Below are 24454 nucleotides of genomic sequence, written 5' to 3'. Positions count from 1 at the left end.
TATTATTATCTGACCATGGCAACAAATAACGACCAAAGCCAGTTTTAAACCCATCCTAATCAATCATGACAACTTCACATCAGTAAATACACTTCCTGAAATCAGCCAATTAGCAACAGTTTTTCACTCTATTCAGTGAACAAGCTTCTGAAAGTTAGCCAGCCATCAATGGTGTTACTTGCTTTCACAGTTAAGCATTAAAAAACAACAACAACAAAAAACACCCTAAACACTCCTGGGTTTTTTGTTTTTTGTTTTGAGACAGCGTCTCACTCCGTCACCCAGGCTGGAGTGCAGTGGCGGGATCTCAACTCACTGCAACCTCTGCCTCCCAGGTTCAAGCGATTCTCATGCCTCAGCCTCCCAAGTAGCTGGGGTTACAGGCATGCACCACCATGCCCTGCTAATTTTTGTATTTTTTTTTTTTTTTTGTAGGGACAGGGTTTCACCATGTTAACCAGTCTGGTCTTGAATTCCTGACCTCAAGTGATCTGCCTACCTTGGCCTCCCAAAGTGCTGGGATTACAGGCATGAGCTGTCGCACTCAGCCAACATTCCTGTTTTTGAAAATCCTCCAATCCCTGAAGTCTGTATTACAAGACCAATTCTGCATTGCTGAGAGAGACTGTGCTTTACAGGTACAGCTCTAACTTTGCTTACAAAGTAATCAATTCAGCTTTTTTATTTCTGATATTAAGAAGTGGCCTCTTCCTTCAACATAATTACAATTTTATATCATTTGTCTGGACATTGTATTATTGATGGTATTTGTTAAATTTTTAAAAAATATGATTTTTGTGATTCCTCATTCTAAATAAGCATTTTTGGTCTAAAAATAATTGTTTTATTGTGCAAGTACTTATTGAGCACATACTATAAGGAAACATGTTAAACAGAAACAAAAATGGTCCCTGCTCTCATGAAATTTACAGTCTAGTGGAGAAGGGCAGACATTAATCAAATAGGCATACCAAAATATATAAAATGTATAACTGTGTCCACCCATGAAAGATTATAAGCTATAGGAACTGCCTGCCCACCATAAATAACTATTTAAGAATGCACAAACTTCATTGAACAACTAATTTCAGACATGGTGCAACAGGTAGCACAGAACTATGATCCCCAAAGGAAAGAAAACAAATGAATTTAGTCCTGTGATTGCTCCGGTTTACTGCCTGGAGAGAGTTTCCAGGCCACCGTGCAGGGACAGCAAAAGCAAACAGAGCCCCCACTGAGTGGAGGAGATGGAGATTGGCACCCTGGGAGGCACAGGTGGCTAGAATTTACAGGCAAAGTATAGGAAATAAAGTTGCCGAACAGAGAGAGAATAATGCCTCAGTGACCTGTGGGATATCAGTCTAAGATGCACGTAATTGAAGTCAGAGAAAAAAGGGAGACATAAAATATTTGAAGGAATGATGGCCAAAAGTTTTCTAAATTTGGTAAAAACTATAAGCCCATGGATATAGGAGACTCAACAAATCTGAAACAGAATAAACTTCGTAAAACCATACTAAAATATATCATGACCAATTGCTCACACATCCTTATAAAGTCTTAAAAACAGCTATTGGGAAAAAGATACATTATATACAGATAAGAATTTCAACAGACTTCTTTTCCAAAACTACATAAGCCAGAACAATGGAACATCTTTAAAGTGCTAAAAGAAAAAAACTGTCAACCATAAATGTTCCGTGGTGAGCGAGTCTATGCAAACTTAACCCCAAAGCCCAGGAAGCTGAGAGGTGAAAGAAGAAGGCTGACATATCCGGCTTATCAGAAAGAAATATTTAAGGGGGACTTACAAACAGAAGTGATATCCTTTGGCAGCCATGAGAAGGGATAGTGGATCCCTGAGCCCTTATCCCCCAGGTCCAGGGATTACATACCACAGGGAAGGAATGTGTAACAATTGAAATCAACCCCTCAGAGAGAGGCAAGAATGAACAGTAGAAAAAGTAGAAATCTCAGAGGCATTCCCAGAACAAGGGTTAATCAGAAGTCAGTATGGTAGAGTAGCGTCCAAGATGGAGTTGCTTTATCATCTACACCTGTGGAGGAAAAGTTAAATATTAAATTTGAACTCAATTGAACATGGACACAAACAATGGTCACCAAGTCCTAGAACAGGTTGTGTGAGCCCCTTGAGGCATTCATCCAGTGCTGTTTCAGAGAAATATCTATTTCAATCTGTTCCTAGTTATTGAAAAACAATAGACAATCGTAAAACCAAGTTGACCTTTTTGTGTTCCTTGAGCCCAGTCATGAAGGGCCCTCATGACTTGTTATAAAAAGAGCTAGGGTCTCAGACCGTGCCTTAGCTTCATGAGACCTCTCCTCATCTGTGCATGGATGAGTGGCCGACTTTGGAGCCCAGGCTGTTACTTCCTGGTCTGGTGGTGAATCCTCCATAGTCTGGTGAGTGCAGTGTCCAACTCTGGGGCCCAGGCTGTTGCTTCTCAGTCTGGCAATGAATCCTCCATAGTCTGGTGAGTGTATATATACATATATATATATATATATATATCATTTCCCTTCTCCCCTTCCCATTGCAATTTGCTTATTATATCAATTTGCTTATTATATCATTTGCTTATTATATCTGCATTGCCATTTATATGGGATAAAGGTTATTTACCATTAAAGGTATTGTGCATGTGTCTTTTCTTCTCCCCTCACGTGTTTCCCACACAGAACAACACCAAATCTACCCAACATCACCTACCACAGGCTATACTACTATTGTCTCTTATGTGAACTACTGGAATGGTGTCCCAACTGGCCTCCCTGCTTCCATCCTTGGTGACTTCCAATCCATTCTCCAGCTGAAATCAAATTAATGTTTTTACTATGTAGACAGGATTATGCAATTCTCCTGCTTAAGAAAAAAAAAGGCTGCTGATTTCACTGTGAATAAAATCCAAAGCCATTGACATGGCCTGCAAGCCTCTGTCTACTTGTTCTACCTTTCTTCCACTCCTATTCTTCTAACTCTTGCTGATTCCGCATTTTTTAAACATATAATTTTGTTTGAGACAGGGTTTTACTGTCACCCAGGCTGGAATGCACTGATGAGATCATGGCTCACTGCAGCCTCGACCTCCCAATCTCAAGCAATCCTCCCACCTCAGCCTCTCACATAGCTAGGAATACAGACATGCACCACCACACTTGGCTAATTTTTTTATTTTTTGTGGAGACAGGGTCTCACTATGTTGTCCAGCCTTGTTTCAAACTCCTGGAGGCAAGTGGTTTTCCTGCCTGGGCCACTCAAAGTGCTGAGATTACCAGTGTAAGCCACTGCACCCAGCCTGATTCAGCTTTTTGCAGCCACAGAATATTCACAAATGCATTCTCTCAGCCCACAAAAATCCCTTCCCTCTCATTTCTATTTCTGTTTCTCACTTAAGGTCTTAGCTATAGGAGGCCTCCCCTGACCATTTCCACCCTCCCAGTCTCAGTTAGGTTCCTCTGTGCACCCTCATGGTACACAGACATGGCACACAGTACTTTTTATCAGAACACTCTTCAGTGTTTGTACCACTGTGTTTATTTGTGTGAGTATTTGATTGTTGTCATTCTCTCTCCTAGAGAGTAAGATCCTTGATACTGGCTCAGCATGGAACATCTGGCACACAGTATGCACTGAGGAAATACTTGTTGGAATAATCAGTGAATCATAGATGAAAACTTAACCTTGGAATTAATTATGAGACTGGTGGGTGTGTTACTTAGAAGGATTTTCCTGTTCTTCCTGAAAGGGTTATAGAAGGCTATTGTACACTGTGTCTTCAGAATTACAGAATGGAGAGGCAGACTTGAAGTGCTTGTTCCTGTGAAAAAGAAGGATCAAAGCTCGAGGCTCAGCCTTCCCTTATGGAACCCTTTGTGTTCTTGCCCTGCACTGGGAGAAAATTATCCACATTTGGAAATCACACACCTAGCCCATCTACTTAGTATTCCTGCCTACTTCCTCTAAGTCTCAGCCTTGTGGGGTGTGGGTTTGCTGGTACTTGTGGGGGCAGGTGAAGAACTTGAGCATATCACCCAACCCTTCAGGGATTTCCCTTCCCATTCCCAACAGCTCAGAGGAAGAGAACGGGAGACAAAGGACCTGGTGATTAGACCCCCAAGACACTGGGCTGTCTGCTTGTGTCTCAGGTGGAACAGGCCCAGCGGGAAAGGGGTTGGGGCACAGAAATAAGGGGTTTGGGTGCAGAGATAAGAGGTCATGGGGTGGAAATAAGGGATAGGGGCACAGAGATAAGAGGTCAGGGGGTGGAAATAAGGGATCGGGGCACAGAGATAAGAGGTCGGGGCGTGGAAATAAGGGATCAGGGCACAGAGATAAGAGGTTGGGGTTCCTGCCCCTCCCCCAGAAAAGCAGGACTTGCCACTAAGGGTGAAGGAGAAGGGGTTGAGGGGTTCTTGTCCTTCTTCTAGAAAAGCGGGACTTGCCGCTAAGGGTGAAGGAGAAGGGGTTGAGGGGTTCTTGCCCCTCTCCTAGAAAAGCAGAGAAGGGGTAGAGACAAGGAGAGAAGGGGTTTGGGGTACTTGGCCCTCCCCCAGAAAAGCAGGACTTGCCGCTAAGGGTGAAGGACTAAGGCAGGCGTCCCTGCGTGGTCTGACACCTCTGAAACGTGGGTGAATAATCAGAGAGGCGTCCTTGCGATGATTAAACACCAAGGGAAGGCTGCCTTCCTAGTCCGTGACGGGCGCCGGAGTTTTGGGTCCACGGATAAAACGTGTCTCCTTTGTCTCTACTAGAAAATGAAAGGAACTGAAATTAAGAGAAGGGAGAGATTGAAGTGTGGCGCTAAGATTGAAAGGAGAAAGAGGTTGAGGGATAGTGAGAGAGGTTGGAGAAGAGACTGAGAAGAGGCCGCTTACCTGATTTAAAATTGGTGAGATGTTCCTTGGGCTGGTGGGTCTGAGGACTTGAGGTCGTAGGTGGATCTTTTTCACGGAGCAGAGAGCAGGAGGACAGGGGATTGATCTTCTAAGGGAGATCCTTCGATCCAGGTCACGGCACCAAATTTTATGTGCGTCCGTGTGAAGAGACCAGTAAACAGGCTTTGTGTGAGCAATAAAGCTTTTAATCACCTAGGTGCAGGTGGGCTGAGTCTGAAAAAAGAGTCAGCAAAAAGAGATAAAGGTAAGGCAGTTTTATAAGATTTAAGTAAGTAAAGGAAAATTACAATCAAAGAGGTTGTTCTCTGACGGGCAGGAGTAAAAGTCACAAGGTGCTCAGTAGAGGAGCTTTTGAAGCCAGGATAAGCCAGGAAAAAGACTTTCACAAAGTCATGTCATCACTTAAGACAAGGACTAGCCATTTTCACTTCTTTTGTAGTAGAATGTCATCAGTTAAGGCAAGGCAAAGTATTTTCACTTCTTTTGTGATTCTTCAGTTACTTCAGGCCATCTAGGCATATACGTGCAAGTCACAAAAAATGTGATGGCTTGGCTTAGGCTCAGAGGCCTGACAGTGGGTGTGTGTGTTTGCTGGTACTTGTGGGGGCAGGTGAAGAACTTGAGCATATCACCCAACCCTACAGGGATTTCCCTTCCCATTCCCAACAGCTCAGAGGAAGAGAATGGGAGACAAAGGACCTGGTGATTAGACCCCCAAGACACTGGGCTGTCTGCTTGTGTCTCGGGTGGAACAGGCCCAGCGAGAGTCTTTAGGGCCAGAACTCAAGAATTTATTGAGGTGAGTGCTCCATTTTAGTCATGGCAAAGCTATACCTTTTATGGGGGCTAAATTTAAAATATAAAGTGATCATTTTGTTGTTTATGGTCTGGGAGTTGCAGAGGAAACTGATTTCTTTTATACACTTTAAATGAACTTATTTACAATCGATAAAGATCTAACACTATAAATGATAAAATCTTTCCCCTTGGCAAGCCCTTCAAACAGCAAACTCAACAGTAGCAGCTAATGTATCTTTCAAAAGGCATTCTTGCAATCAATTAACTTACTATGCTTGACTATTCAGCCTGTTAATCCAAATTTAAGCATTACCTCAAAGCTGGTTTACCATTGTGAAGTCCACTAAAATGCTCCATTGAAACAATTCACTCAGGGGAAAAACACAAAGTGGCAAGCTGGGGACACAGTGGCTCTTTAAGAGGGATTTTAACATTTATGTCCCTGCCTTCTCCCCAGTAGCTGTATTCTCCCCAGTGGCCAGAGTTTCCTTCTGCTTCAACAAAGTCATGTCTGTAGTCTCTTCCAGTTCTGTGTGTCTAATGTTTTCCCATACTCAAGACTCTGGTATACATGATCTAGCTTATTTTTAGTCTAAAGACATCTTAGGGATGAGGCCAGAATTCCAAGTGAGGTTCAAATTTGCAGTAACACCAGTGGCCCAAGTATGCAACTTGAGGCTGCCAAAAGTGGCTCTTTAAAATGTCTTAGAGCTGTTGAGTAACACTAAACTCCTTATTTTACAAATGAGTCAAGTGAGACACAGAGAAATTTAGTCTCTTCTCAATTTGTGACTTATCTTTCAAGATACATTTCAGCCATCCACTCAGAAGCCTTCCCTGACCACTCTCCACTGTCATCAACACCAAATATTTACTGAGTGTCTGTTATATGCCAGCCCTTGTTCTAGGCACTTGGGATTCACCAGTATACAATGGAGACAAAAATCCCTGCCCTGGAGCAGCTTACATTCTAGCATGGCAAACAGGCAGTAAACAGTGAGTATAATAAATGTTGAAGGCAGTAAGTTCTGGAGGAGAACAGAACCGGGTCATGGGGATCAGGAGTGCCTGAGTGGGAGATGGTTGAGTTTGTGATTTTTAAATAGTTTAGTAGGCTTCGTTGAGAAGGTGACATTTGGCACAAACTTAAAGGAGGTGAGGAAGTTATCCATGCAAGGATCTGGGGAAGAGTATGCCAAGCAGGAGGACCACACATGCAAATGCTATTACACAGAACCATGCCTGGGGAGTTCAAGACACAGTGAGCAAACGACAGCTTCAGGGGTGGACGGGAAACAGGCTTGCAGAACACTTGGGATGACCATAGGGGCTTTGACCACTGCAGAGTTCTAGCAGAAGAGTGTGTCAAAGTCAAAACATGGAGACAAATCTCTGAAATTTGGAAATCTTATTTGGAAAGAAAGAATTGCAACTTGGGACATACATGCAGACTGGGTGGTCTTCGGTATGTCTGCAGAACAAAGAGAAGCTTAGAGGTTTCATTGTAAAAAGAGAAATGTTATGTTTTGCTCTCAGGAAGTTCATTGGCACTAGTAAGGTTTTGAGGAGCTGACAAGTTTTGATTGGTAAGTGACAGCAATGGGTTAAACTATTCTTAGAGTTTTGGGAGATTGTTTCAGTAGCTATAGATAGGACTGGTTTCAGGTTATAGCAGGTAGTTTCAGCAGCCAGGCTTGCAGAGAATTTTTACATTCTTGGAGCAATGTTTCGTGTCCTAAGTGCCTTACCCTCTGCCCTCTCAAATCTATTTTAATTGGGTATGACAAGAATGACCCAAATGGTACGATCAACTTTCACAAGTGACATGATTCAACTTTTTCTGATTTCAAAGGCCCATTCTGGCTGCTGTATTGAGAAGAGAATGTGGTGGACAGATATAGAAGCATGGAAACCTGATAGGGCTATTGCAATCACTCAGAAAAGAGGCGATGGCAGCTTGGACCTGTTGGAAGCAGTAGAGTGGTAAGAAGCGATTTCATTCTGGCTATGTTTTAAAAATAGAACCAACAGGATTGGCTGAGAGATTGGATGGATTTTAAGAGAAAGAATGTCTGAGGGTTTTGTTTTGTTTTGCTTTCACAAACTAAAATGATGAGGATTTTTTCTTCTTTTTTTAAGTCTAAGCAACATGCTTACACACATATTCCAACTCATCACACTGTGTCATAAATTTCTTTTCTACCTCTTCTACTTTGTGCTAAGCTAAGGGCAGACCTTGTGTTGTATTCACCTTTACATTCCCAATGCCTACTGCAGCGTTCAATAAATATTTGTTGAGTAAATGAACATTAAGTGTGGCAGATGTGAATTCACATTGGACCCAACACTGTCCTTATCATCTCCCTCCTAAGATACGTTTTGCCTCAAGTATGAAAGTCCATTTGCTGATCTCTGCAGAGAGGCTGAGTTCAGGCTCCACTTGCTGACCTTCCTTTCAGGACTTTATTCATTTTCTATTACTGTGTGTGATATTGTGAATATATGTGTGTGTGTGTGTGTGTGTGTGTGTGTGTATGGTCTTCATTCTTGTTTCCTGGCATACAGCTCCTAAAATCCTTGGAATCTCAAGTGATTGATAAGAATGACTTTTGTATGCTAATGAGATGACTGCAGGTCCCTAGGACAGGGACTGGCCACAGGAAATGCCAGGGCATGATTTGACTTTCAGCCCTACTCTCCAGCTTCCAGGGAGGAGAAAGGACCTGAAGGTTAATTTGATCACCAATGGCCAATGATGTAATCAGTTATGCCTATGTAATGAAGCTTCCGTAAAAACCAAAAGGATTGGGTTTGATTGAGCTTCTGGATAGCTAAACATGTGGAAGTTCCTGGAGGATGGTGGTCCTAAACAGGGTATGGAAGCTCCATGCCCTTTCCTATATGCCTTACACTATCCATCTATTCCACCTGGCTGTTTAACTGTATCCTTTGTAATATCCTTTATAATAAGTGGGTAAAAGTAAGTAAAGTGTTTATCTGAGTTCTCTGAGCAGTTCTAGAAAATTAATCAAACCTAAGGAGGGGGTTGTTGGAATTCCTGATTTATAGCCAGTTCTTCAGAGGTATAGGTGACAACCTGCTATTTGTGACTGGCATTGGAAGTAGGAAGAAGTCTTATGGGACTGAGCCCTCAACCTATGGAGGCTGATGCTACATCCAGGTAGGTAAGTGTCAAAATTAAATTGAATTAGAGGACACCCAGTTGTTGTCTGCTGCAGAATTCATTGGTGTATAGGAAAAAGGTCTCCCTCACCCCAACTCTGGTGTCAGAGTATTGAATGTATTGTTTAGTGAACAGAGGTGGTCTGTATTGAGAGTTAAGGTGGGAAAAACACTCTGTTTTGTCCCATATCTTACACCATGTAACAGATTACCACAAATGTAGTCACTTAAAACAATACACATTTATTATCTCACATTTTCCATGGATCGGGAATCCAAGCACAATTAAGCTGGGTCCTCTGTTATAATCTCACAAGACTGCAATCAATGTGTAAGGCTGTGTTTTCATCTGGAGGCTCAAATGGGGAAGAATCTGCTTCCAAGCTCATTCAGGTTGTGGGCAGAGTTCATTTCCTTGTGGTTTTGGGACTGAGGGTTCCAGATTTTTGCTGGCTGTTGGCTGGAGGCTTTTCCTAGAGGCCACTGCAGTTCTTTGTTCTGTGAGCTTCTCCAGCACGTCCACTTCATCAAGCCACAGGAGAGTCTTTAACTTGCTAAAAAATGTTATATACACAGTGACATGTTTTGGCTGTGTGCCCACCCAAATCTTGAATTGTAGCTCCCATAATTCCCACATGTCATGGGAGGGACCCAGTGGGAGGTAATTGAATCATGAGGGTGGGTCTTTCCCGTGCTGTTCTCGTGGTAGTGAATATGACCCATGAGATCTGATGGTTTTATAAAGGGAAGTTCCCCTGCACAGGCTCTCTTGCCTGCTGCCATGTAAGATGTGCCTTTGCTCCTCCTTTGTCTTCTGCCATGATTGTGAGGCCTCCCCAGCCATGTGGAACTGTGAGTCAATTAAACTTCTTTCCTTTATAAATTACTCAGTCTCATGTATGTCTTTATGAGCAGTGTGAGAACAGATTAATATACGTAGTAATCACAGGAGTGACATCCTCATCCCCTTTGCTTTATTATATTAGTTAGAAGCAAGTCACAGGTCACACCCACACTCAAGGGGAGTGGATTACACAAAGGCCTGAACACTAGGAGGTGGAAGTCATGGTGGGGGGGTGTCAAAATGACTTTCATCATTAGAAATGTGTTTGTTTGTTTCCTATCCCAACAATTTTGACCCCACGTTAGTTCTGGTACAGCATGACCCCCAGACCTGGGTTGTCCAATATGGTAGCCACTGGTCCCATATATGGCTAGTGTGACTGAAGAACTGAGTTTATAATTTTTAAAAAATTTTAATGAATTTAAATTTAAATTGGTACTCCATTCGGTTATTGGAAAAATGTTTGTGTTTTTAGAACAGCTTGGGTATATAAATCTACTTTTTCAACTGTACATTTTATGAAATCTAGACACTGATAGGTATCTCCATTGAAAATTCAGTGTTCAAATTGAGATGTGCCTTTCGCTGTAAAATACAGACCAGTTTTCAAAGACTTGGTATGAAAAAAATAAAGCATCTCCTTAATAATTTAAAAACGAGTTACATGTTGAAATGATAACATCCCCTATATGTTGGGATAAGTAAATATATTATTAAAAACAATTCCATGTTTTTGTTTTTATTTTTTAAAAAACAGGTTACCAGAAAATTTAAAGTTACGCCAGTCACTCCCATTCTATTGCTGAGAGAAAATACAGAGCGGTGAAGAGCTTACAGTCGGGTGAGCAAGATACGCCCCCAATGTTAGCTAATGATGTAAGGCATCAACAAGAAATGTGGGGGTTCAGGAAAGTGGAAGGTGGGGTCGTCCAAAGCCTGGGAAAGTCTTCAGTTGAAGGCGAGACAGATGGGACTATTAGTGAGTTTCGAGAGATCCAACGCCTCGCCGCCTTCGCTTCATTTTTGTCTCACGCCCCACCCTTGAACGCGCGGCGCCTTTTGACCCCGCCGCCGCGCCGTAGACCGCGCTGCACGCCGGCGGCAGCCATGGCGGATGTGTCAGAGAGGACACTGCAGTTGTCCGTGCTAGTAGCCTTCGCTTCTGGAGTACTCCTGGGCTGGCAGGCGAACCGACTGCGGAGGCGCTACTTGGACTGGAGGAAAAGGAGGCTGCAGGACAAGCTGGCGGCGACGCAGAAGAAGCTGGACCTGGCCTGAGACTCTGCGCCTTCCGCCCCATTCTGTCCCCCTCATGGCCACCTTGCCATGTCCGCGCCGGAGCCCCGGTCCGCCGGCGCCCAGAACCAGGCTTGCCACACAGTCCCCGCCTGCCATGGCCGGCTCTTCCTGGAGTGTTGGTGAGCAGTACACATAGTGACATTGCAAAGGGAGACTTTGGGGTCGGGCGGATATCTTAGGATCAACTCTGGCTAGGTCGCAGAAGACAGGACTTGTTCCCACAGACACCAGAAGGTGGAAGTTTTGTCTTCCCTGATAACTTGCTCTTCGGTATCTTGGTTTGGTTCACTGGGTGTTTAATGAGAATGTCTTACCAACGTGCTATGTCGTCGTTCATCCTGACAACATTAAACATCAGTATAGAAAATACTGGAAAGAACAAAAGAAAAAAAGAACCAGGGAGGTGATCTTGCCACCCCCAATTCTTTTCAGTAACATCCTTGTTAGCACATCTTCGCCTTGGCGATTGTAAACTCCAAACTGAATTCTTAGGTTGTTGGCAGCCTGGTAAAGTGGAAAGAGCAGTGGCCTGGAAGTCAGGAACCTTGCATCCAGTCTTAGCTCTTCAGAAGAGCTGTGCATGATCAATTTTCAGGACCTCAGTTTTCTTGTCGTAAACCAGATCTTATGGTTCATGGTTTAATACCACAGTACGGCTTGAAGTTTCAGATTGTGTATTTCTAATTTTTTTCTCTTTTCTGTTTCTAACAGCTTGTTGAAGATGCATATAGACTACCGGAAAGAAATGACTTCTTCTTGCACTTTATGAATCAATTTTATTTTTAAAATAAAAAAATTAAACATCTTTGACCCTTTTATTTTTTCATAAGGGGAAGTATCATGTTTTTCTTGCACCTTACTGCATCAAGAGATCTGCATTTTCAAAACTGACTTACTAGTGTTTTTGAGCAGATGTGTTATGTAACTCGTGCCCCTTCTTTGGTACAGGCACAAAGCAGACTTGGCCGTGGGACCATTATGGGTTCTTTTACCGAACTTTTTGGAAAGCAGGGGGCTGTGTAAACATAACTGAGGTAAGGGTGCTATATGTAAGACCTTTGAACTTCCAAGAGTAACAGTGTATTCCTTGGCCCTGCTCAGGCCTATAATCCCAGCACTTTAGGAGGTTGAGGTGGGAGGACCACTTGAGCCCAGGAGTTGGAGACCAGCCAGGGCAACATGGGGAGACCCAGTCTCTACAAATAACTTACAAATTAGCTGGCCGTGGTGGCACACACCTGTGAGTCCAGCTAATTTGTAAACCAGAGGCTGAGGCAGGAGGATCACCTGAGCCTAGGAGGTTAAGGTTGCAGTGAGCTGTGATCTCACCACTGCACTCCAGCCTGGATGACAGAGCGAGACCCTGTCTCAACCCAAAACGAAACAGTGTGTTCCAAGTACAGAGTATAAGTTTTTTCTTTTTTCTTTTTTATTTGAGACAGAATTTCACTCTTGTTGTCCAGGCTGGAGTGCAATGGCACAATCTCGGCTCACTGCAACCTCTGCCTCCTCGGTTCAGGCAATTCTACTGTCTCAGCCTCCCAAGTAGCTGGGACTACAGGCATGTGCCACTATGCCTGGCTAATTTTTGTATTTTTAGTAGAGATGGGGTTTCATCATGCTGGTCAGGCTGGTCTCGAACTCCTGACCTCAGGTGATCCACCGGCCTTGGCCTCTGAAAGTGCTGGGATTACAGGCATGAGCCACTGTGCATGGCCAGTGTATAAGTTTTTATTGGCAAAAATCTCTTTTACGTGTCATTATGGAATACACATGAAGGAGAAACCCTCCTGAACAGAGCTTAGTGATAAATCCTACCTATATCTAAAAATCAAGAGTGAGTGCCTGGTTCCTTTGATTTGCAAGGAGTGTTTCTAGAACACCACCCTTGCTCATTCCTACAAAGATTAATTCCGTGTCTCAACCTCATGTTAACATAGGAAAGTTGTTTCCACATGAAGCACCCGCCACCGTCCCCCCATTTTAGTGGGGCTATTATGCCTTATTACCTCCAACTTTGTTTTCATTCTGCGAATGTAGTAGTCAAGGATTGAAATGGTTCCTGGAGCTCAGTCCCATCTGGGCCGCAGTTTGCTGAAGCTTCCTAGTGTCCACCCCTAATTGAGGCTCCAAGAGTTGAGACTCTTTGAGACAAGGTAGGTTTCTTGAGGGACATATTACCCCCAAACTGTTGGAATGTGCCTGGTTAAGCATCTGGATTGTGACTGGCCTAGTTCTGCCTGTTTGGACCCATTCTTGTGCCATGTTCCTGGTGGACCTGGTCCTTCCAATGTTGATTCTTTCTTTCTCATTGCTTATGTACAGCACCCTGACACAGTCATGCCCCTCTCCTGTCTCTCCTCTAGGTATCCCTGCCTCTGGGCATGTGTTACTTCCGAGTCCTGTCCATATCCTTATGGGATTTTTAGCCACTCTGTGCTGCTCCTAATTTTCTAGTTTTCTGCTTACTACCTTTTTACACTGTGACTGTACTCCCCAGTTCTGTAGTGGGCAGTTACCTTTGACGTTACCTCTGTCACTTTTTCTACCTTTGCTCTACTTAAATGTGGTAGTTTTTTCCCCCCCAAAATACTGTGGAGATAGTACTTTTCCTACGTTAGCCAAAACTGGAAATGGAAAGTTGGGAGCCAGGAGTCAGTGCCAGTCATAACTTGGAAATGACACACTGTTGACTCCTTGAATCTATATTCCCCCACCTCCATTTTTCACTGCCATTTAGTCATGGCATCTACATGTCTTGGCCCACTTTTACTACCCTACCCTGCCTCCTTTTCTCCCCCAATATGGGCTTCCCAGACCACCTGTTCTATTCCACATTGCTTCAGCCATACTCCGGACCTTATCATCAACAGGCTTGGACTTTTTTATATTGTACTTGTCTGTTTAGTCTCGGGGTAACGCCACCTCATTAGGACAGCTTACATCCTCTACATCTCCTATAGAACTGCCCACTCTGGAGACTATTAGTTGTCTCACCCTTCCAGTTAACCTCATAAGTCATCCTGGGCTCCCTGGTCAGATTAGACTCCATCCCTTCTTGTACATTTACCTTCACCACTGCTTTTGCTCTTTTGAGCCACTGAACTTGAAAGAAAGACTTCACCTTTCTCACTTGGCTCACTACAAATTCGTTCTATTGTGACTGCATCTGTCTCATTTCTTAGCACCTGAGTTCCTGAAACTCCCAGTTTTCTTGATGCCTTTCATTCCTAGTAGATCAACCATATGAGAAGATAAAGGCTGTTAGCTGGGAATTCCTTCATCCTACTCAATAGTTTTGTCTAGAGCAGTAGTTTTCAACAGGGCTACACATTATAATCATCTAGGGAGCTTTAAAAATACTAATTCTTGCATGCCACTGTCCAGACATTTTGATTCATGTCATTTGGAATATGGCCTGGGTATTAGAATTTTTAGTTCTTCAGGTGATTGTGATGGTCACCTGAGGTTGAAAACTACTGTTTTTGAAGCTCTGTCTCATTAGGTTTCCTTTACCAGGAGAGAAGACACACGGGCCCTTTCCAAGGCTGTCTCCTCTTTGGCCTCTGCAGAATTCTGCATCTCCCTCAGGACCTTTCTTGTTCTCCAGTACATCATCTCTGTTGCGTCTGCAGTCTCTGCCTGCTTTCTATTTACAAATGCATATTTTTTCTTTTCTTTTTTTTTTTTTTTTTTTTTTTGAGACGGAGTCTCACTCTGTCCCCCAGGCTGGAGTGCAGTGGTGTGATGTTGGCTCACTGCAACCTGTGCCTCCCGGGTTCAAGCGATTCTTGTGCCTCAGCCTCCCCGAGTAGCTGGGATAACAGGTGCCTGCCACCATGCCTGGCTAACAAATGCATGGATTTTGACTTAAAATTTATTTTAGTTGATGTTATCATTTGCCAATATTTTCTTTCCAAATATTTTGCCCATTGGTCTGCTGTGATCTGCCCTCTGCACCTTCCAGAAACATTAATATCTATGGCTCTTCTGAATCCTCACATTTTACCTTGAGGGTATTTGATGAGGCCACTTTGTCCCTTGAAATTCTCCTTCCCTTGCTTCTCTAATACAAAAGTTTATTGAGTTTCCAAACTGCTACTATTGCTGCCTTTCTCAAGTTCCTCAAACTTTTGCCTTGGTTCTCTGCCCTGTCCTCTCCTGTGATTACCCTAGCCATTCTCTTGGCTTAACTAGCACATCCAAGCAGAGCCCCCTCCCTCTGATCCTTTCCTTCAATTCCAGCTTCACCCTTTCAGCTGTCTAGTGGACATATTCAATGCATGACCTTACTGTAGAGCTCAGTGTATTTAATCATAAGCTGTTCATTTGGCGGGGAATTCTGTACACCAGGTAGCACTTCTGTGGTAAGTGGTTGGTACAATTTTCATGTTTCTAGTCTATTACTGTAGCTTGGAAGCTCTTTGAGAGCAGTATTAAACATCTTGTACCACAGGCCTAAACAGTGCCTTGCACCAAGGTATATATTTGTCATTTTTATTTGAGGTGGATTGTTTTCTTTTCTTTTCTTTTCTTTCTTTCTTTCTTTCTTTTTTTTTTTTTTTTTTTTTTTTTTGAGACACAGTCTCACTCTGTTGCCCAGGCTGGAGTGCACTGGTGTGATCTCAGCTCACTGGAACCTTCACCTCCCAGGTTCAAGTGATTCTCCTGCCTCAGCCTCCTGAGTAGCTGGGATTACAGGCATGTGCCAACACACTTGGCTAATTTTTGTATTTTTAGTAGAGACAGGGTTTCGCCATGTTGGCCAGGCTGGTCTCAAACTCCTGACCTCAGGTGATCCACCCACCTCGGCTCCCCAAAGTGTTGGGATTACAGGCGTGAGCCACCGTGCCCAGCCTGAATTTTCTTTTAAGGCCCTAAAACTGCACACTTTCTCTATTCTCTTTGCTATAATCTTTTTATTGATTCCAAGTCGTCTTGTTCCACTGGTTCTGTCTACATTATGAGTCTCTTGGAAGCTGTTAAATTCTTTTTCAGTATGACCTGTGAGGAAGCAATTCAAAATTGTTACTCATTTTAACACACTGATAGAAATCATGATGAGTTTTATGAAGTAGCTTGCTCTCAGGAGAAACATTGGCCATGGTTTGCTTTAGTTTCTTTTGGCTACCTCACTGCAGATCTCTCTTGTTTTAGGTTATGTTGTTTTTTATAATGGCATCAAGGTATAACTACAGAGGAGCAATGACTAGTATTAATGTGACTGTCCTGAATATTACAGTTATTAGTGAAAAATCATTAGCTGAGTAATCATATCATTTATAGCACACTGAATACCTCAGTGGTACTTCTCAAACTTGAATGTGCACATGAAACACTGGGGTATTGTTAAAATACAGATTCTGATTCTCCTAGGACTGTGGTGGGGCTGAAAATGTGAAAATGTGCATTTCTAACAAGGTCCCAGGTGGTGATGATGCTGATCTAGGAATCGCAAGTAATGAATACTTGTAACCGAAACAATATGATGCAAAAATGTATAAAGTCAAACATCTTCACACCTGAGGTGAATGAGTAATACACTTTTTTTGCACCTTTCCTTATTGTTCATATATTCACACATATTTAGGGGGGGTTATTAGTTTATTTTTACCAACAGAATTAAACTGTATCCATGATGCTATTAACTTTTCCATTTAAAATGTGGAAATCCCTATAAATAAGTAGATGCAGAATAATTTTTTCTAATTTATTTGTAGACTGAGAATTTCATAAGTAATAGCTGTATTTTAGAGCAATTTTTTTCGTTTTGCTCATCTCATCACCTGTAATTATTGATTTAATAATCCACTTAGAAATATTTTATAGCATTTTCTCATTTGTTGTAAAGATTTTTAATGGAAATCCTATGTTTGACTATTTAAGTGAACTAATTATCATAAGCCATAATAGAGAAATTAATTCAAAATAAGACATGAATTACAACAAAACAGACAATACCAAATCTTGCCAAGGACATAAAGAACAAAAACTCATACACTGCTGATAGGGTATAAATTAGTACCATTTTGGGAAACCAGGTAGTAGTATCTACTAAAGCTGACGTATAACATGCCTGTGACTCAGCAGTGTTATGTGTTTGCCAGAAGACTTGCACCAGGACGTTCTTAGCAGCGCTATTTATACTAGCCCTAAGCTGGAAACTGCCCACTTACCCAGCAACAGTAGAATCAGTATGTTAGGGTATATCATATGTGAAATATCAGCAATGAGAATGAACAGACTACAGACACACACAGTATAGATGCATCTCACAAATGTGATATTTAAAGGACAGGAGAAGCCACCACACAGTGCATAATTTCATTGTATAGTACAAAAAAAGGCAACACAAGTTTGTGCTCTTATAAGTTAGGATATTGTTCACCTTTGGTGTGTGGTAGAGAAGTGAGAGGGTTGAGAGGTTGGGGGTAGGCAAGGACTAGAAAGACAGGAAGAGTGTGAGTGGGCAGATAATGTTCTGTTTCATAATCTGGGTGCTGTTATGGGGTGGAGGGTTTTCAGAGCTGCACACAAAGTCTGTAGACTTTTCTCTGTATGTATTATACTTGAAGAAAAAAGTACATAAATAATGGTTCATCCTGGCCTGTGGCTGTTCTGAAGAACATTCATTTGTATTAATGGGGTCCATCATTTGGAAGGTGAGCCCCAAGCATCATCATTCTTATTCAAGTTCAATTTTGGTGTAGTGGAGTTTTGGAATTGGATTCATGGGATGCAGTCCCATATGGGGGAAACATGACAACCTTCCTGAGAGTTGATGTAAACTGGGAATCATAATGAGAACTAATAATTTGCTCATAGATTTGCTGTAGAACAATTACCATCCTTACAGAATTCAGAATTGACAACGTGCAATATTAGAATGAAATGAAACTTCAGTAGCCTAAATGGCAAAGAATTAAAAACTGCCTTTTGAAGTGACAGTATGGAACAGAACCATATATTCCATAGGAAAGCTATCCTTGGAGTTAATGAAAGAGTTTAAGATACTAAAATTGTATCTTAACATTAGCTTACAAAATTGGTATCAGAAAGCAAATGCCATAAAACAGGTATCCCAGCAAGAAGGTGGTGTTATTATTGATGTATTGTGGGGAATGTAGTTTCAGACGCCGGGGGACGTTCCCCTATCCTTAGGAATTGCCGAGGAAAAGTGACTCCCCCGGCTGTGACCTGCCTGGTGGCGTGGGATGACCACCGCAAGAGAACATTTGACCCTTCCCGGGACCGGCCCGGGCGGGGCGGGGCTGGGAGGCGGGCGCACATCGATGGCGTCACCTTCTGGCGCCGCCGGTTGGTTTCCCTGGCAACTGGAGCAATCAGAGCACCGCAGCCAGGGAGATGCTGGCGAGACGACAGCGAGATCCTCTCCAGGCCCTGCGGCGCCGCAATCAGGAGCTGAAGCAACAGGTATGGTCAGGCTGTGCAGAGGGCCCTGGGGCGGGCGACAGGCGGACGCAGCTGCGCGCACTGCGCCTTCCCACCGTGACCCCACCTAATCCTGGGAGCTTGCCCCCAACCTACTTACCTTCCCAGGTTGTAACGCCCCCTTACCCCATAACATTCCAGCACCCAACCCCGATTCAAACCCCTCCTGATCCCAACTCAACCCCCAGCCAAAGGCGAAACCTCCCAAAATTCGTGACCATCAACTAAGCGCCCCCTCCTCCGACCCTCACTCCCACCTAACGTCTCAACCTCCTACCCTAACAACTCACTAACCCACCTTATCTCCCAATCTAAACTTAGTGGTGTAACCATTTCCAACCCAACTCTGAGCCTAGCTCCTCTCCTCCACTTTCCAAGCCCATTTCCTTTCAGCCTTCCTCAAGTGGAGATTATTATTGCCTCCGTGAACTCAAGCGAAATAGGTGTCAAGAAATAGTCTTAATATGCAAGAACATTAAGATCTGATAAATGAGCAAAGGAGGTGAACGAGAGAGGAAATACAAGTAACTCATAAACATACGAGGAATGTTAACTTCAAAGATACTCAAGTAATTGCAAAGCACATAAGGTATCACAAAAATGTTAAAAATCACAACACTCTGTCTTGAGGAAGGTGTGATGAAGCAGGCACATTCACTGCTCCCGTGTATAAGGTGCTTGTACAGCATTTCAGGAAAGCAGCTTGACAAGGTGTAACATATGTGTATGCACCTAGGCTCAAAAATTACATTTCCAGGGATCTGCTATGTGTAATAATTAGAAAGTAGGACAGAGATTGATGTATAAAAGTATTCATCACATTGTTACTTATATAATATACACAGAACAGCATAGAAGGGAACAGGCTAATATGGTATTTCTGTGTGACAGGATGCTGATGATTATTATGATTTTCTTTATTCTTTTTCATATTTATAAAAATTTTTAGGCCAGGTGTGGTGGCTCATGCTAGTAGTACCAGCTACTTGGGAGGCTGAGACAGGAGGATCACCTGAGCCCAGGAGTTCGAGACTAGCCTGGGCAACATAACAAGACTTGGTCTCAAAAAAAAAAAAACTTTTTAAAAATACACTGAGTTCTTATTAAAAATAAGAAAAAAGTAAATAGCAACCAGTGGGTTTATTTTCTGACATTTTAATTTCACTTTAATTTTTTTCATGTGATCTATTACCAAGTATTTTTCCACTGAGTAAAATTATTTTATAATCTGAGGCCGGTAAGAGATTCACTGATGCTCATATTTTATCCATTTTTGTTCTCTTGTTTAAAGTAAAAAGGATTTGGAAGGTAAATATTTAGGTGACTGTGTATTGGAATCACAGTGGTGCAACAAAAGCTAAATACTCTTCTGGTAGAAATAAAAAATAAAACTTGATGGGGCATTGACTTATGCTGAACTTCGGTGGATCTTAATATGGTTCTGTGTCTTATTTTAAAATTTCAACTTTTATTTTAGATTCAGGGGGTACATGTGCAGGTCTGTCACATGGGAACACTGTGTTATGCTGAGGTTTGGGGTACAGATGAGCCTATCACACAAGCAGTGAGCACAGTACCCAATAGGCAGTCTTTCAGTCTTCATTCCTCTTCCCTCCCCCACCCCACTCCAGCAGTCACCAGTGTCCATTGCTCCCATCTTTATGTCCATGTGTACTCAACGAGTGAGAACATATGGTATTTGGTTTTCTGTTCCTATGCTAATTCACTTAGGACAATGGCCTCCAGCTCCATCCATGTTGCTGCAAAGGACATGATTTCATTCTTTTTTATGGTTGCATATTTTTTCATGGTGTATATGTACCACATTTTCTTTATCCAGTCCACCATTGGTGGGCATCTATGTTGATTCCATGTCTTTGCTATTGTGAATAGTGCTGTAGGGAACATACACATGCATGTGACATTTTGGTAGAATCATTTCTTTTTTGGGGGTATATACACGGAAATGGGATTTCTGGGTCAAATGATAGTTCTGTTTTACGTTGTTTGGGAAATCTCCAAACTGCTTTCCACAGTGGCTGAACTAATTTTCATGCCCACCAACAGTGTATATGTGTACTCTTTTCTTGTCAGCCTCACCAGAATCTGTCATTTCTTGATTTTTTAATAATAGCCATTTTGACCAGTGTGAGATGGTACCTCATTGTAGTTTTAATTTGCATTTCTCTGATGATTAGTCATGATGAGTTAATTTTAAATTTAGTGGGACATTAGGAGAACCAGGAAAAGTTTTAGAAGGAAACTATAAAAATGATTATTAAAACAAACTATTAGAAAGATTATTCTCCCTGGAGAAATATTGGCTCTGGAGCCTTTTGATACCTTGACTATCTGGAAAGTTTGTTTTGATAGTATTAGCTAATTCTTCCCTGTCTTCACAGAGGACACCTGAAGCTGAATATGGAACAGATTTTCTATTCGGTGTCTGTAGGACAAGTAATCAACAGCCCCTCTGAGTCAGGCCTGTGATGACTGGCTCTATCACTAGGTGTGTGAATTTTGTAAATAACACTCAGATGGATGCCAAATTGCAAGAGTAGAGAAGAAACTAATGGAATTTTCTCTTTTTTCATCCACTTTATCTTCTCTACGTAATCTATAGAAAACAGACCAAAGAAGTATGTGCCTTTTTGGAGAGTATATTGACAAAGTTACATATAGTGTTAGTAAACAAACTACTAAGTCAAGAGAAACAAAGTCATGATACATTCAATACAATGGATACCACTCAGTAATGAGAAGGAATGAACTAATGGTACACACAACAATATGGAAGTATCTCAAAAACATGCTTTGTGGAAAGGTTACACAAGAGTGCTTACTGTATGAGTCCATTTATATAAAATTTCAAGAACAGGCAAAACTAATTTATGTTGGAAAAATATCAAAACAGGTTTGTCTGTGGAGGAATAAGGAGGGGATTTACTGGCAAGGGCATGAGGGAACTTACTAGGGTGATGGTAGTTTTCTACATCTTGATAAGAATTTTGGTTACACAGATGTATGCATTTGTCGAAACTCAGCAAATGTATGCCTCGTATTTGTGCATTTCACTATATACATATTTTACATCAACTATTGAACTTTAGTTAGTGACATCCATAGTCCATTATTTAGGGAGAAATGTATTGATAACTGCAACTTACTTTGAAAGGCATAAGGTGGGTTGACGGATAGATCAAATAAGTATAGTATAATGTTAATGTTTTTTCTAGGTAGCGGGTATATGGGTTTTCACTGTAAAATTTTTAAAACTTTGTTGTATGTTTAAAAGTGTTCATTATAAAATATTGGATAAAAAAAGAAGTTTTCTTTCCTAAGGCGATATGGTATTTAATAATGTGATATTTTAAATGGTCTCCATAGGTTGATAGTTTGCTTTCTGAGAGCCAACTGAAAGAAGCTCTAGAACCCAATAAAAGACAACATATTTATCAAAGGTAAAGTATGCTAAATTATATAAGCTTTACAGGAACCGCACTTACATTTCAATGCATAGTATTTAAGGCATAGAGATTGGTCCTTTGGAATCAAATGGAAGAATCACATAGTGTTGTAAGTTGAATGTAGAAGAAACCAACCTAAACCTGATGGTTGCGGACTTGCTGTTGTGACAGCAACTATAAAAACTGCTTAATGTAAACATAGGTGACATGGGCAGGATTACCCTAAATCCTTAGCCTATGTAGCCCAGATCCTGTGACCTGGTCAGAAACCTCTGTCTATAAGCAATTAGTACTTCATTGGGATGTCAACTTTAACTCCCATGAGAAGACAACACTGTTTTCTAGGTGGGTGTTTTTTGTTTTGTATTTGTTTTTACTTAAAAAAAAATCCTTGGGAGAGTTTAAATAGACGTGATGAACTACATCAAATTTAGACTATTAATTCATAACATTTGTATTAAGTTTAGGACATCATTAAGATAATCTTTGTTTTTGAGATATTTAAGGATTTTATTACATTCCAAAGAACATGAGATTCATTCTATTAATTTAAGTGAATTGTAATTGTTTGGAGAAGTTTTACTTAAGTCAGGCATTCAGAGTGCTTAAAGGCAAAACAAATGAATTTTGAAATGTCAAATGAATTTAATTTATAATAGTAGGATTGATTAAGGGATTTAGTTCAAGCTGAATTAACAGTAATGAAAGAAAAGCAAAGGTTATTGTTCTTGCTTTACTAGATTTAAAAACAGAGTAAGATTTATAGACTGAATTTGAAGGCCAAGGGAAAACTACGTTTTTAAATTTTATGTTAGTAAACTAAAAATCATAATTATTATTATTTTATTTTTTGAGACTAAATCTCACTCTGTCACCCAGGCTGGAGTGCAGTGGCGCAATCTCGGCTCATTGCAACCTGCACCTCCCAGGTTCAAGCGATTCTTCTGCCTCAGGCTCTTGAGTAGTTGGGATTACAGTCGTGCCCCACCACACCTGGCTGGATTTTGTATTTTGAGTAGAGATGGGTTTCATCACGTTGGCCAGGCTGGTTTCGAACTCCTGACCTCAAGGGATCCCCCAGCCTTGGCCTCCCAAAGTGCTGGGATTATAGGTGTGAGCCACTGTGCCCAGCCTAATAATTGTTATGTTTTATTTTTTTTGAGATAGAGTCTCTCTCTGTCGCCCAGGCTGGAGTGCAGTGGCATGATCTCGGCTCACTGCAAGCTCCACCTCCCAGGTTCAAGCGATTCTCCTGCCTCAGCCTCCCGAGTAGCTGGGATTACAGGTGCCCGCCACCATGCCTGGCTAATTTTTTGTATTTTTAGTAGAGATGGGGTTTCACCGTGCTAGCCAGGATGGTCTCAATCTCCTGACCTCATGCCCCCTGCTTTGGCCTCCCAAAGTGCTGGGATTATAGGCGTGAGCCACCGCGCCCGGCCCCTAATAATTATTTTTAAGCCCAAGTAACCATAGTCTTCTCTGTGCATGAAAAGAAGATTGTTACTGTCATTTAAAAACTCACTTTGACATTTGCATATCTGAAAATGTCATTTAGGTATCATTTTTATCTGCTCAGTGCTCTGAGTCTTTTCAGTTTGAAAACTCATGTCTCATGAGCTCTGGGAGATTTTATTTTACAAAAAGATTATTTCGTTAATTCCATTTGTCTGTTTCTTCCTGAAACACCTTTGAGTCAGGTATTGGATATCCTGGACTGATCCTCTATATCCCATAACTTCCTGTTAATAGTTTCTGTTTCTTTGTTTGTATGGGAGATGTTTTTTTGGGGGGATGTGGGGGGTCTCACTCTGTCGTTCAGGCTGTAATGAAGTGGCACAATCATGGCTCACTGCACCTTCTGCCTCCCAGGCTCAAGGGATGCCCCCCTCCCCCGCCACGAGCTACCATGCTAGCAATTCTCTTGACTTTAACACTTTTCTTTATTACCTATTTCAACAGCCATATTGTTTTATTTCAGCAGTCATATTGGTTTTTTTTTTTTTAAGATGGAGTCTCACTCTGTCATGATCTTGGCTCACTGCAACCTCTGCCTCCTGGGTTCAAGCGATTCTCCTGCCTTAGCCTTCTGAGTAGCTGGGATTACAGGCTCACGCCATCACACTCGGCTAATTTTTTGTATTTTTAGTAGAGACGGAGTTTCACCATGTTGGCCAGGCTGCTCTCAAACTCCCGACTTCAGGTGATCCACCCATCATGGCCTCCCAAAGTGCTGGGATTACGTGAGCCACCGTGCCTGGCCATCATCAGTCATGTTGTTAATTTACAAGTGTTTTCTCTTGTTCTCGAATTGTTCTTTTTTCATAGCATCATGTTCCTGTTTTCATATTGATTGCCTTCTTACTACTTCCATGACTAGGAGGCTTTTTTTTTCTCCTTAAGTTCTCTTCTGTTCTCTGAATTGTCTTTGCTTTCTCTGGGCTCAGATTCCTTTTAATTAGTTAATTAATTAATTTATATTTGGTTATTCTTAAAT

At 41.9% G+C, this 24454-nt stretch overlaps 2 protein-coding genes across 12 annotated transcripts in view, besides 2 other annotated features; both read left to right on the top strand.

Annotated features, from left to right (window-relative positions):
* Nucleotides 10526-10575: an enhancer, noted in NCBI's record as "active region_16370". NCBI's record gives its function as "activates an Ori minimal core promoter by ATAC-STARR-seq in GM12878 lymphoblastoid cells {active_cell/tissue: GM12878}" and the evidence as "EXISTENCE:reporter gene assay evidence [ECO:0000049][PMID:35858748]".
* Nucleotides 10676-10925: an enhancer, noted in NCBI's record as "active region_16369". NCBI's record gives its function as "activates an Ori minimal core promoter by ATAC-STARR-seq in GM12878 lymphoblastoid cells {active_cell/tissue: GM12878}" and the evidence as "EXISTENCE:reporter gene assay evidence [ECO:0000049][PMID:35858748]".
* Nucleotides 10828-11846, top strand: MTLN (mitoregulin). Its single transcript, NM_001384134.1, has 2 exons — nt 10828-11160; nt 11753-11846. Exon 1 carries the CDS (start codon nt 10850-10852, stop codon nt 11018-11020), a length of 171 nt encoding a protein of 56 aa, NP_001371063.1. The 5' UTR covers nt 10828-10849; the 3' UTR covers nt 11021-11160; nt 11753-11846.
* Nucleotides 18362-24454, top strand: part of NPHP1 (nephrocystin 1) — an 81666-nt gene continuing 75573 nt past the window's right edge. For all 11 annotated transcript variants that reach the window (NM_001128179.3, NM_001374256.1, XM_005263677.2 and 8 more), the window contains exons 1-2: nt 18362-18475; nt 21881-21954. In NM_001128179.3, coding sequence (NP_001121651.1) covers nt 18407-18475; nt 21881-21954 — 143 coding nt within the window. In that variant the 5' untranslated portion in view covers nt 18362-18406. The remainder of the gene's footprint in view (nt 18476-21880; nt 21955-24454) is intronic.

The sequence above is a fragment of the Homo sapiens genome, chromosome 2, assembly GCF_000001405.40.
Source record: "Homo sapiens chromosome 2, GRCh38.p14 Primary Assembly".
In the NCBI taxonomy this organism is placed as follows: domain Eukaryota; kingdom Metazoa; phylum Chordata; class Mammalia; order Primates; family Hominidae; genus Homo; species Homo sapiens.
Note: the sequence above shows the minus strand (reverse complement) of the source record. Positions and strands in the feature narration are given on the sequence as shown.